This window comes from Homo sapiens, chromosome 17 (genome assembly GCF_000001405.40).
Source record: "Homo sapiens chromosome 17, GRCh38.p14 Primary Assembly".
In the NCBI taxonomy this organism is placed as follows: Eukaryota; Metazoa; Chordata; class Mammalia; order Primates; family Hominidae; genus Homo; species Homo sapiens.
This window is the reverse complement of record NC_000017.11, coordinates 17,194,310-17,210,501: the sequence shown is the minus strand read 5'-3', so window position 1 is coordinate 17,210,501 and position 16,192 is coordinate 17,194,310. Positions and strand designations below refer to the sequence as shown.

The window sequence follows — 16,192 nt, the reverse complement described above, 5'->3', positions numbered from 1 at the left end:
TTAGCCAGGCTGGTGGTGTACGCCTGTAGTCCCAGCTACTCAGGAGGCTGAGGCAGGAGAATCACTTGAGCTCTTATATATTGTGGAAATTAACCCCTTATCTGATAATATAGTTTGTATAAGCTTTTAAAAAATAAATTGTATATATTTAAGGTATACGACATGATGTTAATGACATACACACACATATTAAAATGGTTATTATAGCCAGGCACTGTGGCTCACACCTGTAATCCCAGCACTTTGGGAGGCCAAGGTGGGCGGATCACCTGAGGTCAGGTGTTCGAGACCAGCCTGGCCAACATGGTGAACTCCCATCTCTACTAAAAGTACAAAAATTAGCTAGGCGTGGTGTCAGGCACCTGTAATCCCAGCTGCTCAGGAGGCTGAGGCAGGAGAATCGCTTGAACCAGGGAGGTGGAGGTTGCAGTGAGCTGAGATGGCCCCATGGCACTCCTGTCTGGGCAGCAAAGCGAGACTCTGTCTCAAAAAATAAAAAATAAACACAAACGGCCAGGCACGGTGGCTCACACCTGTAATCCCAGCACTTTGGGAGGCCAAGGTGGGCGGATCACCTGATGTGAGGTGTTCGAGACCAGCCTGGCCAACATGGTGAAACCCCGTCTCCACTAAACATACAAAAATTAGCCGGGCGTGGTGGTGGGTGCCTGTAATCCCAGCTACTCTGGAGGCTGAGGCAGGAGAATTGCTTGAATCTGGGAGACGGAGGTTGCCGTGAGCCAAGATCACGTCACTGCTGACAGAGCAAGACTCCATCTGAAAAATAAATGAATAAAAAACTAGGCCGGGCACGGTGGCTCACGCCTGTAATCCCAGCACTTTGGGAGGCCGAGGAGGGCAGATAGTGAGGTCAGGAGATCGAGACCATCCTGGCTAACATAGTGAAACCCCATCTCTACTAAAAATACGAAAAATTAGCTGGGCGTGGTGGCGGGCACCTGTAGTCCCAGCTACTTGGGAGGCTGAGGCAGGAGAATGGCGTGAACCTGGGAGGCAGAGCTTGCAAAGTGAGCTGAGATCGCACCACTGCACTCCAGCCTGGGCAACAGAGCAAGACTCCGTCTCAAATAAATAAATAAATAAATAAACTAATAACTAAATGTTGTAACACAAAAGAGGATAAATGCTTAAGGTGATGGATATCCTGTTTACCCTGATGTGATTATTACAAATTGCATGTCTGTACCAAAATATCTCATGTACCCGATAAATATATATACCTACTATATACCGACAAAGTTAAAAATAGAAACTGGAAGACAAAAAATAAATAAAAATCAAATAAAGCTTCTCATTTTGTTGTCTGCCTTTGGTAGATTTCCAGCCCTGAAGTGGCTGTTTTTGAAAACTGTTTTCCCCCAGTTTTATTTTTGTTTATCCCTCTCTGGAGGGATTTGAGTCCTTCTTTATACCTCCACAACTCCAAGTCCCTCCTCTCATTATCGTTTTAGATGAGGAAAGTGAAGCTCAGAAGAGATGAATCAATTTGCCCTAGACCATGCAGCTAGGAAGCCTGGGAGCCAGCACTAAACTCAAGTGTTCTTTTTCTTTGTTAAGAATTTTATTCGCCAGGCACGGTGGCTCACACCTGTAATTCCAGCACTTTGGGAGGCCGAGGCAGGCTGATCACGAGGTCAGGCGATCGAGACCATCCTAGCTAACACGATGAAACCCCGTCTCTACTAAAAATACAAAAACAAAAATTTAGCCGATGTGGTGGTGTGCATTTGTAGTCCCAGCTACTTGGGAGGCTGAGGCAGGAGAATTGCTTGAACCCAGGAGGTGAAGGTTGCAGTGAGCCGAGATCGTGCCACTGCACTCCAGACTGGGCGACAGAGCGAGACTTCATCTCAAAAAAAAAAAAAAGAAGGCCGGGTGCGGTGGCTCACGCCTGTAATCCCAGCACTTTGGGAGGCCGAGGCAGGTGGATCACGAGGTCAGGAGTTCGAGACCAGCACGGCCAAGATGGTGAAACCCCATCTCTACTAAAAATACAAAAATTAGCCGGGTGTGGTGGTGGGCGCCTGTAATCCCAGCTGCTCGGGAGGCTGACGCAGAGACTCACTTGAACCCCGGAGGCAGAGGTTGCAGTGAGCCGAGATCGCACCACTGCACACCAGCCTGGGCGAAAGAACGAGGCTCCGTCTTAAAAAAAAAAAAAAGAATTTTATTGACATAATCACTGACATACATTTTTAGTTATTTACACCATACAATTTGACATATGTATATACCTGTGAAACCACCACAGTCAACCCGATAAGCACACATCCATCACTCCACTTCCTTGTGGCTTTGTTGGCCTCCAGGCTACACTGGTCTGCTTTCCCTCAATCTAGTTTGCATTTTCTAGAATTTTATGTAAATGGAATCATACAGTATGTACTCTTTTTGTCTGGCTTTTCCCACTCAATATTAATGAAATTCATCCACGTCGTAGCACATGTGAGTACTGTTTTTTTTTTTTTTTGGTGGGGGGGGGATAGGGTCTTGCTGTGTCACCCAGGCTGGAGTGCAATGGCATGATCTTGGCTCACTGCAACCTTAGTCTCCAGAGCTCAAGCGATTCTCCCACCTCAGCCTCCCGAGTAGCTGGGATCACAGGCACGTCAGCGCACTCAGCTAATTTTTGTATTTTTTGGTAGAGACAGTGTTTCACCATGTTGGCCAAGCTGGTTTCGAATTCCCGAACTCAAGCTGTCCTCCTGCCTCAGCCTCCCAAAGTTCTGGGATAACAGGCATGAACCACCGTGCCAGGCCACTTCATTCTATTTTATTGCTAAATAGCATTCCCTTGTACAGATATACAAAAGCTTATTTACCTGTTTACCTGCTGACGCCTTTTTGGGTTGTTCTAGGCACATACGCCTGCCAGGACACGTGCTTGTGTTAATGGATCCCGCCCTTTCTCCTAGGAGTGGGATAGCTGGATCATATGGAAGGTGCAAGTTTAATATTTTAATAAACTTTTAATTTAGAATAATTTGCTTTACAGAAAAGTTTCGAATATAGAACAGAGAGATCCATTTACCCCCACGCAGCTTCCTTTGTTAACCTTTTACATTCCTTTCATACATTTGTCAAAGCTAAGAAACTGACATTGGTACAATGCGATTAAGCTCCAGACTTTATTTGGCTCTCACCAGTTTTTCCGTGAATGTCTTCTTTCGGTTCCAGGATCCAGCCCAGACCACCACATTGCCCCGTTTCCCTATGCCCCCGGCCCAGTGCCCTCGGCTGCCTTAGTCTCTTCCTCTGTTTATGCTTAAAGCAGGGCAGGCCTTCCAACAACGCCGGCTGGAAAAAACCTCTTGGGCTAGGAAAAAACCTCTGGGCCGACACCGCCTCCAGTATGCTGGGTTCCAATGCTGCCTCCAGCTGTGTTGATTCCCTGATTATCTGTGTTCCCAGGTCATTCCCCAGCCCAGCCTAGCTGCTCCCGAGAAGACAGTGAAGGTGTGACCCCACATTTCCAGAGCAGCTCTGCTGTGCTCCATGCGAGGAAAGCCGGGGTTGCTGTGGCTTCTAGCGCGGAGAGCGGTCTCTGGCCTGGGCAGGTGACGGGTGTGCTAGGGCCCGTGGCCCGCGGGTGTGCAGGTGCTGCCTGGTGGCGCGGGCTTGGGGACGTGGCTTGGCACGTGGTGGGAGGTGGAACCTGGAGGGCGTGGCCGAGCGCCTGGCTGGAAGGAAAATGGGGGGCACAGCCTGGCGTTGGGGGGTGGAGGGTGTCTGTGGCAGGGGGCGTGGCCTGGCGCGTGGAGGGAGGCGTGGTCACCTGTTGAGGGTTGGGGGCGGGCTGATGGGAGGCGTGGGTTCAGCTTGGTGCGTGACAGTTGTGGGGGCATGGCGCGGCCTAGCGCGTGGCCCTCGGGGGCTGAGGGCGTGACCTTGCACGTGGCCGTTGGTGGGGCGTGACGGGGGCGTGGCCTGGCGTGTGGCCATGGGTGCTGGGCGTGGCCTGGCACGTGGCCTGGCACGTGGCCGTTGGCGCTGCGTGACGGGGGCGTGGCCTGGTGCGTGGCAATTGGCAGGACGTGATAGGGCGTGGCCTGGCGCGTGGCCATGGGGGGCTGGGCGTGGCCTGGCACATGGCCGCTGGCGGCGCGTGACGGGGGCGTGGCCTGGCGGTCTAGGGCTGGGGGCGCGCAGACTCCGCTGCGGCGGCGTGGCTGTGGGTCCCGGATTAGCGGCGGCATGGGACGGTTGAGTTGGCAGGTGGCGGCCGCGGCGGCTGTGGGCCTGGCTCTGACTCTGGAGGCGCTGCCTTGGGTGCTGCGCTGGCTGCGGTCCAGGCGGCGGCGGCCGCGGCGCGAGGCGCTGTTCTTCCCGTCTCAGGTGACCTGTACCGAGGCCCTGCTGCGGGCTCCGGGCGCGGAGCTGGCCGAGCTCCCCGAGGGCTGCCCGTGCGGCCTGCCCCACGGCGAGAGCGCGCTAAGCCGCCTGCTGCGTGCCCTGCTGGCCGCCCGCGCCAGCCTGGATCTCTGCCTGTTCGCCTTCTCCAGCCCGCAGCTGGGCCGCGCCGTGCAGTTGCTGCACCAGCGTGGGGTGCGAGTGCGGGTCGTCACCGACTGCGACTACATGGCCCTCAACGGCTCGCAAATCGGTCTGCTGCGCAAGGCAGGTAGGCCCGGCGGGGTCCAAGCGGAGAAGGCCGGCTTGGCCCACGCGGGGTCCTAGGCGCAAAGGTGGACACTTAGGGGAGGGGGTCTGGGGACGGGCTGAGGCCTCATTTACTTTCCTCGTGGCCTTGTGGGGTCGGGGTGGTGTAACGCGGAGAAAGCAGAGCCCCCACAGAAGGTCTAGCCGGCTGCGTGGGCATAAGCGAGCCGGACCCTCGGTGCCTCCGCGGTGGGGGCGGTTCTCTCAGTGAACTGTCCCGGCATGCTGGAAGCAGGTGGGCCTGCGTGTGCCGGGTTAGAGGCGGAGCAGATTCCCCTAGCAACTCCTCGGGCGCCGCCGGCGGAGTTTTCGTGACTGCTGCAGCCCGGGCCCGCCCTCCTACGCTGCCGGAGATCCCCGGACGGCCTCTGGTAACCTGGATCCTGGTGGCAGGGGAGCTGGACGCCAGGGTTGTGCTTGGACTTCCAGACTGAAGGGCTCTGGGGAGAGGCGGCCACCTGCTGCCCAGTGAATCTCAGGCCACTGGGCTCTGGGAGACCTGAACATGTTCTAGAAAGCAGCGCCAGGACATTCGGTTGTTTTCCCAGCTGCAAAAGGAGGGGAACACATATTTCTGGCGGGGGCGCCTCTCTCATGGGGTGGGGACAGAAGGGACCAGGAAATGTGAATAATTGGGATCCTTGTCCCACCTGAGGATTCTCAGTCCATCCTGGCCCAGTTCGGCGGCCCAGCCTGCTGTTGCCTTTTGTGTATCTGCACTCACAGACTCTTGGGCCTGTCTCTGTCTCCATCACTCAGGCACCCAGAAAGTCACGCCTGCACGTGCAACGGTTGGATCTGATAATACTGGTGGTCGCAGTGACCGAGAGATGTGTGGAGCCCTGGGAATTGTCCAGGCTGGGCAGTGGTCACCGCCGCGCTGTTCCTTCTGCACAGCCATAGCCTCTTGTTGACTTGGGCCTCAGAGCAGCCTCTCCAGAGTCAGCCAGGGTCCCTCCCTGCTCTGGGTGGTGTGGGGCATGTTGCACGCCATGTGGGAGCAGAGTGGGGCACGTGGTTTTCATATTGAGGATGTCTCCTTCTCTTTGGGGCAGCCACAAGAGCTGTCCTCCCATGTGTTGGTCATTTTAACGGGAGGTTTGGGGACCTCCAGGCATGCACAGTACAGTTCTGTTTGAGTTGCTTTTACAGTCGTAGAAGCTGAGGTTGGTGAAGACCCTTCAAGGGCCCCTAGACCAAGGTCCCATCGGATCCCCTCTGGGATGGCCTCCCAGCATCCTCGCTGACTTCGAGGCTGTCCAGTGGCATTCACTGTTCAAGGAATGTCCCCTCTGTGCCAGTATTTGTGAGGAGCTGGAACATCCTAGGGCACAAGGGCACAAGGCCAGGTTGCCACGGAGATGCCAACTAAGTCATGAATATTTCATTTAGGGCACTGAGAAGGGCCAAGAAAACTTCATAAAGCAGGGTAAGGAGGCAGTGGTGTGGGAGGAAGTGGCGTGGGCCAGGTCAGCTGCCCAGGGGCAGTGACACTCAGGGCAGGGACCTTGCTGACACCAGTGGACTGTTCGGAGGGAGAGGCATGCGGCTGGAAGGGGCAGCAGCACAGTCGCCCTGGGTCACAGACTGACTTCCTTTTGAGGAAGGGCAGGAAGTCCCCTGTGGCCAGAGGTGGCAGGCCGCGGGGAGGGGACGGGGAGGTGGGCAGTGGATCCCAGCGGAGGCAGGAGGTGTGGGCGATGGTGGGGTTTTACATTGCCCACCGTGTGGAGGAATGTGTTTGGAGGGCTGTGCCGACAGGACGTGCCAGAGGAGTGGCCAGAGTGTGAGAAGAAGGGCTGGCTCCTCGAGGTAAGGAAGCCACCACGTCTTCATCCTGCCAGGCCCAATTTAGGGGGCACAATTAAATATGAGTTCCATGCACAGGGAGTGATTTTTAGGGTATGTTCCCAGTACTCCATGGGACACACTTCCCTTCAAAGATTACTCTTTATCTGAAATTCCATTTAACTTGGATGTTCTGTATTTTGATTCGGAAAATCTGGCAACTGTGTTCCATGGCAGCCTGTTTAAAACTTCTTTTAAGCCCCATTTCTGACGGCCTCATTCCTTAAGCAGGTCGTGAGTGAGGCAGTGTTATTCCAGGGGAGACAGACACAGGCCCTTCCCAAGAGGAGTTTGAAAGCTGGGAAGAGCAGAGGCCGGGATGCCTGGTTCTTTGGTGAAGGAAGCAGGGGGGTGCGGAAGAGGAGAATTCATTTGTGCGTTGTTAGTTAGGGCCCTTCCTGCCTTGGTGGCCGAGGTTGTGCCAGCAAATTGGGCTCTGCTCTCAGACGCCGGGGCCTCTCTGGGCAGAGTGGGCACGCTCTCAGCCTTAGCTGTGGAAGAGTCAGAACCTGAAGGCTCACACGCTGTCTTTGCCCTGGTCACCTCTGACTGGGTTAGTGACAGCCTTGGCAGCAAGCAGTAACCCCGAAGGGACATACTGGCTGGCATAGACTCGGAGGTGTGGCCTCACCCAGACCACGGCCTGCCCAGTCCCCCATAGCCTGTGTGTGACGCTCTGGCCCTGTGTGTGATGTCCCCTCTGTGGTTCTCAGCGTCCCTCCTGGGAGCTTAGCCGCCACCACTCTGTGAAAGCATGGCGGGCTTTCCTGGCCCACCAAACTGGAAACATATAGTAAAGCCAGTAGCCCCCAGGAACAGTCCACACTGGGGGCGGGACTCCTGCATGGAATGAAATCACCTTGTCCTTTCTGCAGGGATCCAGGTCCGGCACGATCAAGACCCAGGCTACATGCATCACAAGTTTGCCATCGTGGACAAGAGGGTGCTCATCACTGGCTCGCTCAACTGGACCACGCAAGCCATCCAGAACAACAGGGAGAATGTTCTCATCACGGAGGACGACGAGTACGTGCGGCTTTTTCTGGAAGAATTTGAGCGCATCTGGGAACAGTTTAACCCTACAAAGTATACCTTTTTCCCACCAAAGAAAAGTCACGGAAGCTGTGCCCCACCTGTCTCCAGAGCTGGAGGGAGATTGCTTTCATGGCACAGAACTTGCGGCACCTCCAGCGAAAGCCAAACCTAACCAAGAATGGGGCTGAGCCCTCCCTGCGGGCTGCTGTGCGTTCTGAGGGAGGGAGACCTCGGCACTAGAAAAAAATCGTTAAACTAAAGTCTCGTCTATTAGAATACTAAATTGAACTAAAGAAGGTTAGGAAAGGGAAATTTCTGTTACTTCGGGTCAGTTATTTCGGGCCAGACCTTTTTCTTGCTCCTTTGCCAAAATAACTTCAGTCACGACCTGCCACGGGGTGCTTTCATGAGTGTGGTCCGTATCTTGGTTTGGAATCGAAACTTCTGCTACAGCACAGAAAAGGCACAGTGCCTCTTCCAGGTCGATCCCATTCCCTTCCCTGATTCTAGAAAAGTCCCTCCTGCTTTGGCTGATGTGGGCCCTTTCAGCATCTCCCTGAGATTTCATCCCTCTCTCCATGTGGCACGACTGGGGTTGGTTGGGGCCTACAGTCTCCTTGTCCCTCACAGTCTGCCCCTGTCAGGGCTCGGTCCTCAGAGTAAGGAAAGGAAATGGAAGTCAGGAGGAAGGGAAGATGTGAGTGTGCGGTGCGGGTGGCAAAAGCAGCCTTCGGGGCAACCCCGTGAGCGTCATTGCCACCAAAGGCTGGCTGTTCCCTTGATTCCTTGCATAATTGCTCTTTAAAACCAGTATGCACGCCAGTGCCAAGCTCTTCAGCAGCCTGTCCTTGGGTAGTAAGTGCTGTGGTCTGTCAGGACTGATGGCCAGCAGCTGTTTCTATGTTGGGCTTTTAACTTTTTTTATTTTATTTATTTATTTATTTATCTTTTTTGAGATGGAGTCTCACTCTGTGGCCCAGGCTGGAGTGCAGTGGCACAACCTCGGCTCACTGCATCCTCTGCCTCCTGGGTTCAAACGATTGTCCTGCCTCAGCCTCCCGAGTAGCTGGGATTACAGGTGCCTGCCACAACACCTGGCTGATTTTTTTTTTGGTATTTTTAGTAGAGACAGGGTTTCACCATGTTGGTTAGGCTGGTCTCAAACTCCTGACCTCAAGTGATCCACCACTTCCGCCTCCCAAAGTGCTGGGATTACAGGTGTGAGCCGCCATGCCCGGCCGGGCTTTTAACTTTTAATGTCCTAATGTTAAGGTAATTTTGTTGTGTGTTTAGAAGTGACCTTACCTTTAACACCTGTGGAGTTAGTGCGTGCACATTGCTGGCTCAGCGTAACCCATCACGGGACCGGAGGAGAGGAGAGCGGGGAAGAGGAGAGCAGCTTCAGGCCGTGGTGTCTCCCACGTCTGTGTTCTTATTTGCAGCTCAGGGTTTGCATTCCCAGGTAGAACAGGTGTCGTACACTGTGAAATGTTCCAGGTTATTTGTTTATAATGTGTGTGTCATATACAGATAGCTCCGATGACATCTGAAGTTGTGACTTCATCATCTTGTCATATTTCTGTATGATGAGCCCCAGGGCCCATCCTGAGGTCTGCTAGCCATGTGCTTAGTCTCACCTCCCCAGCCCACGCTGGCATTACCACCCAGAGACCCTTCAGTGCTGTGTGTTTTTCCTTTTTAGGGTTACTTTTGACTCACAGTGTTAGGCAAGCCAGCTTGGAAGTTAACTTTTAAAAAAATTCAATTGAAGCTGTAAAGTATAATATATAGATTGGAAGTCACCAGAAATTGTTTTAGTTTGTGAATTCCCCCAGTGTATGTTCTGAAAAGAAAATGGGAGAGCTTGTAAAGCATCTCCTAAATGCGAAGCCGCGTGACCCTGGACTTCTGGCACATCTGAATAAACATGTTCTTATTCTGGAATGTGAGCGCTGGGTGTCTTTGCCTTAGCTTGCTGCTAAATCATTCAAGTAGGGGCTCCTCTTTGTTAAATATAATTTTGCGGGGGGGGGCAGTATACAGCTATTTAGAAACTGTTGGTCAAAGAACAGGAGACTCAAAGAGGAGTAAAACTTTAAGCTGTTATTTGGGTGAAGGAAATAAGGTATACGGTGGTCCATTTTTAAGACAAAGTGCCTTGAATCGGCTTCGGTCAGCAAACTACGGAAGAAACGGGTTGTACTAGGCCCCTCAGGCTAGCCGATGCCTTATCGGCTTCCCCGCCTGCCCCCTTCCCCCTTCCTTGGTTGCCCTCACCCGAACCAAAAAAGTTTAAAATGAAAGTTTACTGGCCTGCAAAATAGCTCGCTTTGTCTCTTCCTACCAGCTGGCCTAGCTACTTAGGTCATAAGTCAAATACTTGAAGAGCCCCTAAGCAGACTAAGATTGCAATGCACTGTGGGCTGTAACAAAATGCAGCAAGACAACCCTAAAAAAAAAATACCTAAAGCCCCCGCCTAACAACCAATAAGCAATGTCTGGGAAGATTGTAACCCCATAGTACTCAGCCTGTAAGGAAGGAGCCTGCACACTGGGGGATAAATTGCTTGTTGAAACTGTGCTGGGTGTGCCTGCTCATCAGACACCCGATCTTGGAAGACGTTATTAAAAGTATAGAAGATCCTTGGCCCACACGTAAAGACTGCTGTGCCAGTAACAGGCAGGCATGCCCAGGAGACCCTAGAACTGCACGCCGGCCTCTGCTCCAACACCTGAGGCGAGTGATGCTAGAAGGCAGGGGCTCGCTGAAGATGAGGGCTGGGGAGGGGGTTGTGTAGTGTGTGTGTCACCTGAAGCCTCTTTTTGCCTACAAGATTGTCTTGGCTCCTCTCAGAGAGAAACTTTAAAAGAAGTAATAAATTTGCCAAGTAGGCTCAGCAGTCACAAAAGAGGCTCTAGGAAGATTCCCCTCTAATTGCCCTCGTCTCCTGGGATGAGCTTTCATCAGCTTAGTGGTTTGGATTCAATGTTGTTAACTATGCGGGCAGTGATACAGCTTGAAAACGGTGAAACCCCATCTCTACTAAAAATACAAAAATTAGCCGGGCGTGGTGTCGGGCGCCTATAGTCCCAGCTGCTCGGGAGGCTGAGGCAGAATGGTGTGAACCCGGGAGGCCCAGCTTGCAGTGAGCCGAGATCGCCTGGGAGACACAGAGCGAGACTCCGTCTCAAAAAAAGAAAAAAGATCGGTCTGGGCAACATGGCAAAACTCCGTCTCTACTAAAAATACAAAAATTAGCTGGGTGTGGTGGTGTGTACCTGTAATCCCAGCTACTCGGGAGGCTGAAAAAGGAGAATTGCTTGAACCCGGGAGGTGGGGGCTGCAGTGAGCCAAGCTCACACCACTGCACTCCAGCCTGGGTGACAGAGCTTGACTCTGTCTCAAAACAAACAAAAAATTCTGATAGTACCATATGCCCTTAACAGTCTGCCCACACTGTTGAATATTCCTAGGTTGTTGGAATGAACCAATGCAATGATGCCATATTTTAAAGCACTATGTTGGTTCTATAGGGTTTTTGTTTTCTTTTGAGACGGAGTTTTCGCTCTTGTCACCCAGGCTGGAGTGTAATGGTGCAATCTTGGCTCACTGCAACCTCCGCCTCCCGGGTTCAAGCGATTCTCCTGCCTCAGCCTCCTGAGTAGCTGGGATTACAGGCGTGTGCCACCACCAAGTCCAGCTAATTTTTTTTTTTTTTTTCTTGGTAGAGACGGGGTTTTGCCACGTTGGCCAGGCTTGTCTTGAACTCCCGACCTCAGGTGATCCACCTGCCTCGGCCTCCCAAAGTGCTGGGATTACAGGCATGAGCCACCACGCTCAGCCAGTTCTATAGGTTTTTAAAGCAACCCACAATTTTTTTTTTTTTTTTTGAGACAGAGTCTCTCTCTGTCGCCCAGGCTGGAGTGCAATGGCGCGATCTCAGCTCACGGCAACCTCCGCCTCTCGGGTTCAAGTGATTATCCTGCCTCAGCCTCCTGAGTAGCTGGGATTACAGGCGCCCACAACTACGCCCGGCTAATTTTTGTATTTTTAGTAGAGACGGGTTTTCACTATGTTGGCCAGGCTGGTCTCGAACTCCTAATGTCATAATCTGCCCACCTCGGCCTCCCAAAGTGCTGGGATTACCAGTGTGAGCCACTGTGCCGGGCCCAATTTTTTTTTTTTAGTCTGATCCAACAGAGTATATTCATGTCAATTTCAGTTTACAATCCTTGCAGTCCCATCAGTTTGTGAGATTATGCCCAGGTCATCCACACTGGAGGTCTGAAAATGTTCTTAGTTGTACTCTAGTTTCACTAGCTGCATAGTTTTCTGGGATAGTCTCAGTCACTTGAATCCTTTAAAGATGAAGCCCAAAGAACCATGGAGATGACTTTAGAGGCATTAACAATGAGCAGCAGAGGCAGCCCTGGGTGGATCCCATCTGGTGTCACTGGGAGTGACATGCCTGAGAGACATCCTACTTTGGGTCCAAGTGGAGGTGCTGACTCAGGGCAGCTGCTACAGTGTGGCTACTAGAGGATCCTTCTCCAGTCTCAGAAATTGAAGCTGAGAATGGACCATTTTCAGAAATTTCATCATGAAGATCCTTACACTCAAAATCTTAAGGTGGCTGGGCACGGTGGCTCATGCCTGTAATCCCAGCACTTTGGGAGGCCAAGGCGGGCAGATCACGAGGTCAGGAGATCGAGACCATCCTGGCTAACATGGTGAAACCCCGTCTCTACTAAAAATACAAAAAATTAGCCGGGCATGGTGGCGGGTGCCTGTAGTCCCAGCTACTCGGGAGGCTGAGGCAGAAGAATGGCATGAACCCGGGAGGCGGAGCTTGCAGTGAGCCGAGATGGTGCCACTACACTCCAGCCTGGGCGACAGAGCGAGACTTCGTCTCAAAAAAAAAAAAAAAAAAAAAAAAAAATCTTAAGGTGATGATGGGTTTCCACATGACTCTTTTCAAGACCACAGCCGACGCCTTTAAAATCATGACTGGCTTATGTGTCGACATGTATTCTCACACTCAAATTTCAGAATAAGGCATGAGGTGGATGTATGTGATGGCACCAACTCTGCTTTCTCTTTTCTAGTGACCACTCAGGCCCTGCCTGCACCTATTCTTACTCATTTTAGGGCTCCATCCATTACTCTGAGCCTTCAACCTGCAGCTCTGCTTTTCGCTGTCTGCAGATGCTGAAGAAAGGCGTCACTAAAGGCCTCGGGCTGCTGGCTGCGATCAGCACCGATGGGAGCTGCCAGGATCCAACCCAGTTTTTAAAAACACACTTGATCAAGATTCACATACCATAAAATCTGCACATTAAAAGCATGAGATTCAGTAGTGGGTTTTAGTATATTAACAAAGTTGTGTAACCATCACCCCAAAAAGAAACACTGTTCCAGTAGTAGTCACTCCCCACTCCGTACTACCCTCCAGCTCCTGGCAATCACTAGTCTACTTTGTCTCACAGATTTGCCTACTCTGGGCATTTCATAGAAATGGAATCCTCTCTGCAGCCTTTTGTCTCTGCCATCTTCACCTCGCGTCATGCTTCAAGGGAATCTGTGCTGCAGCATGTTTCAGCACCTCATTTCTTAGTTTGGCTGAATAACATTCCATTGTATGGATAACAAATTTTGTTTGCCCATTCATTCGTTGGTGGGAATTTGGGTTATTTCTATCTTTTGGCTGTTATGAATAATGCTGCTATAAACATTTGTGTACAAGTGTTTGCACAGACATGTTTTCATTTCTTTAGTATACACCTAGGAGTGAAATTATTGGGTCATATAACACTATTTAACCATTTGAGAAACTGCTAGACTTTTTCCAAAATGGAAGTATCATTTTATATTCCCACCAGCAGTGAATGAGGGTTCCTTTTCCTCCACATCCTTGCCAACATATGGCATGATCTAACTTTCTGATCATAGCCCTTCTAGTGGGTATGGTGTCTCATTGTGGTTTTGACTTGCATTTCTAATGACTTAAGATGATGAATGTCTTTTCATGAGCTTATTGGCCATTTGTATGTCATCTTTGAAGAAATGTCTATTCAAATCCTTTGCCCATTTTTTTGGGTTGTCTTTTTATTGTTGAGTTTTAAGAGTTCTTTGTATATGTTCTGGATATAAGAATCCCTTAACAGATACATAATTTGCAAGCTGGGGACAGTGGCCAACGCCTGTAATCCCAACACTTTAGGAGGTCGAGGCAGGAGGAATGCTTGACCTCAGGAGTTCGAGACTAGCTTGGACAACATAGCAAGATCTTGTCTCTACCAAAAATAAAAAATAAAAAAAATAAAAATAAGATTAGCTGGGCATAGTGGCACACTCCTGTAGTCTGAGCTACTCAGGAGGCTGAGGTGGGAGGATCGCTTGAGCCTGGGAAATTGAGGCTGCACTCCCGCCTGGGCAACAGAGCGAGACTCTATCTCAAAGAAAAGAAAAAGTCATTTGCAAATGTTTCCCTTCTTTGGGTAATAGGTGTTGATGGAATTGTTTGCAGCATGTAAGCTTTTGATTTTGGTATAATCTATTAATATTTTTACAGTTGTTGCTTGTGCTTTGGTGTCATAGCTAAGAAACCATTGCCCAACCCAAGGTCACAAAGATTTGCTCCTATGTTTTTTTCTGTCATATATATAATTTTTTTCTTTTTGAGACAGTCTCACTCTATTGCCCAGGCTGGAGTGCAGTGGTGCAATCTCAACTCACTGCAACCTCCGCCTTCCAGGTTCAAGCGATTCTCCTGCCTCAGCCTCCCAAGTTGCTGGGACTAGAGGCGCCCACCATCACGCCCAGCTAATGTTTGTATTTTTAGTACGGATGGGGTTTTGCTAGGCTTGGTTTCGAACTCCTGACCTCAAGTAATCTGCCTGCCTCGGCTTCCCAAAATGTTGGGATTACAGGCGTGAGCCACTGCACCCGGCCATTCTTGTATATTATATTCCTATCACTCATACTTAGGTCTGTGATCCGTTTTGAGTTAATTTTTGTGTATGGTGCAAGGTAGGAGGCCCAACTTCATTTTCTTTTGCATGTGGATGTCTAGTTGTCCCAGTACCATTTGTTGAAAAGGTTATTGTTTCCTCACTGAATGGTCTGGGCATTATTGTTGAAAATCAATTGACTGTAAATGTAAGAACGCTTTTTCTGAACTCGCAATTCTGTTTCACTGATTTATCAATATCTCTCTTTATGCCAAGACCACACTGTTTGTTTGTTTTTTTGAGACAGAGTCTAGCTCTATAGCCCAGGCTGGAGTGCACTGATGCAATCTTGGTTCACTGGAACCTCTGCCTACTGGGATCAAGCGATTCTTGTGCCTCAGCCTCCCAAGTAGCTGGGACTACAGGCATATGCCACCACGCCTGGCTAGTTTTTGTATTTTTAGTAGAGACAGGGTTTCCCCATATTGGCCAGGCTGGTCTCGAACTCCTGACCTTGTGATCTGCCTGCCTCAGCCTCCCAAAGTGCTAAGATTACAGGTGTGAGCCACTGCGCCCGGCCTTTTTTTTTTTTTCTTTTTTTTGAGACAGATTCTCGCTCTGTCGCCAGGCTGTTATGAAACAGTGTTGGATTTTCAAATGCCAACTGATTTTAAAAATTGCATTTACATAGCTTTACAAAAATAGCGTATGTTAAAACCATAGGAGGCCAGGAGCGGTGGTGCATGCATGTAATCTCAGCACTTTGGGAGGGTGAGGCAGGTGGATCACTTGAGATCAGGAGTTTGAGACCAGCTTGACCAACATGGTGAAACCCCATCTCTACTAAAAATACAAAAAAATTAGCCAGGTATGGCAGTGTGCTCCTGCAGCCCCAGCTACTCAGGAGGCTGAGATGGGAGAATCACTTGAACCCGGGGGGTGGGTGGTGGTGGAGGCTGCAGTGAGCTGAGATCCCGCCACTGCACTCCTGCCTGGGTGACACAGTGAGACTCCATCTCAAAAAAAAAAAAAAAAAAAAAAAAATTAGACAACTGGAATAGCAGACTGAAAATGTGTATCTTTTTATGCCTGTACTTAACTTTTTTTGGCTATGTTTTATACATTTCTTGACTTTTTGTTTTGTTTTTTTGAGACAGAGTCTCACTCTGTAGTCCAGGCTAGAATGCAGTGGCGCGATCTCAGTCACTGCAACCTCTGCCCCCCATGCTCGAGTGATTCTCTCACCTCAGCCTCCCCAGTAGCTGGGATTACAAGTGTGTACCGCCATGCCCAGCTAATTTTTGTATTTTTAGTAGAGATGGGGTTTCACCATGTTGGTCAGGCTGGTCTTGAACTCCTGACCTCAAGTGATCCACCTGCCTCGGCCTCCCAAAGTGGTGGGATTACAGGCGTAAGCCACCATACCTGGCCTCTTAAATTGATTTATTGGTAGAATCAACTTTTTTTCAATGTTATCTGGATAAAAGTTTAGATTCCCACAAATTTCACCCATTTCATTCTAAAGGTTGTGAATATATTGTTTAAAAAACCCAGTTTTTCTTTTTTGAGACAGGGTCTTGCTCTGTTGCCCAGGTTGGCAGTGCAGTGGCACGATCTAGGCTCACAGTAACCCCCACCTCCTGGGTTCAAGCAATTCTTGTGCCTCAGCCTCCTGAGT

At 50.5% G+C, this 16,192-nt stretch overlaps 1 protein-coding gene across 2 annotated transcripts, besides 6 other annotated features; it reads left to right on the top strand.

Annotated features, from left to right (window-relative positions):
• Window positions 3,136–3,975: an enhancer, noted in NCBI's record as "H3K27ac-H3K4me1 hESC enhancer chr17:17109841-17110680 (GRCh37/hg19 assembly coordinates)". NCBI's record gives its function as "activates a minimal SCP1, AML or CMV promoter by ChIP-STARR-seq in naive H9 embryonic stem cells {active_cell/tissue: H9 hESC(naive)}" and the evidence as "EXISTENCE:reporter gene assay evidence [ECO:0000049][PMID:30033119]".
• Window positions 3,861–3,910: a silencer, noted in NCBI's record as "silent region_8238". NCBI's record gives its function as "represses an Ori minimal core promoter by ATAC-STARR-seq in GM12878 lymphoblastoid cells {active_cell/tissue: GM12878}" and the evidence as "EXISTENCE:reporter gene assay evidence [ECO:0000049][PMID:35858748]".
• Window positions 3,951–4,200: a silencer, noted in NCBI's record as "silent region_8237". NCBI's record gives its function as "represses an Ori minimal core promoter by ATAC-STARR-seq in GM12878 lymphoblastoid cells {active_cell/tissue: GM12878}" and the evidence as "EXISTENCE:reporter gene assay evidence [ECO:0000049][PMID:35858748]".
• PLD6 (phospholipase D family member 6) lies at window positions 4,169–9,507 on the top strand. 2 transcript variants are annotated; one of them, XM_017024310.3, is made up of 2 exons: window positions 4,169–4,638; window positions 7,404–9,507. In XM_017024310.3, exons 1-2 carry the CDS (start codon window positions 4,216–4,218, stop codon window positions 7,749–7,751), a joined length of 771 nt encoding a protein of 256 aa, XP_016879799.3. In that variant the 5' UTR covers window positions 4,169–4,215; the 3' UTR covers window positions 7,752–9,507. The 2 variants fall into 2 exon arrangements, with proteins under 2 accessions (XP_016879799.3, NP_849158.2); NM_178836.4 differs by having other exon boundaries at window positions 4,169–4,642.
• Window positions 4,321–4,370: a silencer, noted in NCBI's record as "silent region_8236". NCBI's record gives its function as "represses an Ori minimal core promoter by ATAC-STARR-seq in GM12878 lymphoblastoid cells {active_cell/tissue: GM12878}" and the evidence as "EXISTENCE:reporter gene assay evidence [ECO:0000049][PMID:35858748]".
• Window positions 4,391–4,510: a silencer, noted in NCBI's record as "silent region_8235". NCBI's record gives its function as "represses an Ori minimal core promoter by ATAC-STARR-seq in GM12878 lymphoblastoid cells {active_cell/tissue: GM12878}" and the evidence as "EXISTENCE:reporter gene assay evidence [ECO:0000049][PMID:35858748]".
• Window positions 5,031–5,150: an enhancer, noted in NCBI's record as "active region_11793". NCBI's record gives its function as "activates an Ori minimal core promoter by ATAC-STARR-seq in GM12878 lymphoblastoid cells {active_cell/tissue: GM12878}" and the evidence as "EXISTENCE:reporter gene assay evidence [ECO:0000049][PMID:35858748]".

Bases quoted from the DNA above. Each gene is read 5' to 3' on its own strand.
- PLD6 (XM_017024310.3), top strand. From the start codon at position 4,216: ATGGGACGGTTGAGTTGGCAGGTGGCGGCCGCGGCGGCTGTGGGCCTG. The intron at 4,639-7,403 runs GCAGGTAGGCCC...TCCTTTCTGCAG, and splicing joins AAATCGGTCTGCTGCGCAAG to GGATCCAGGTCCGGCACGAT.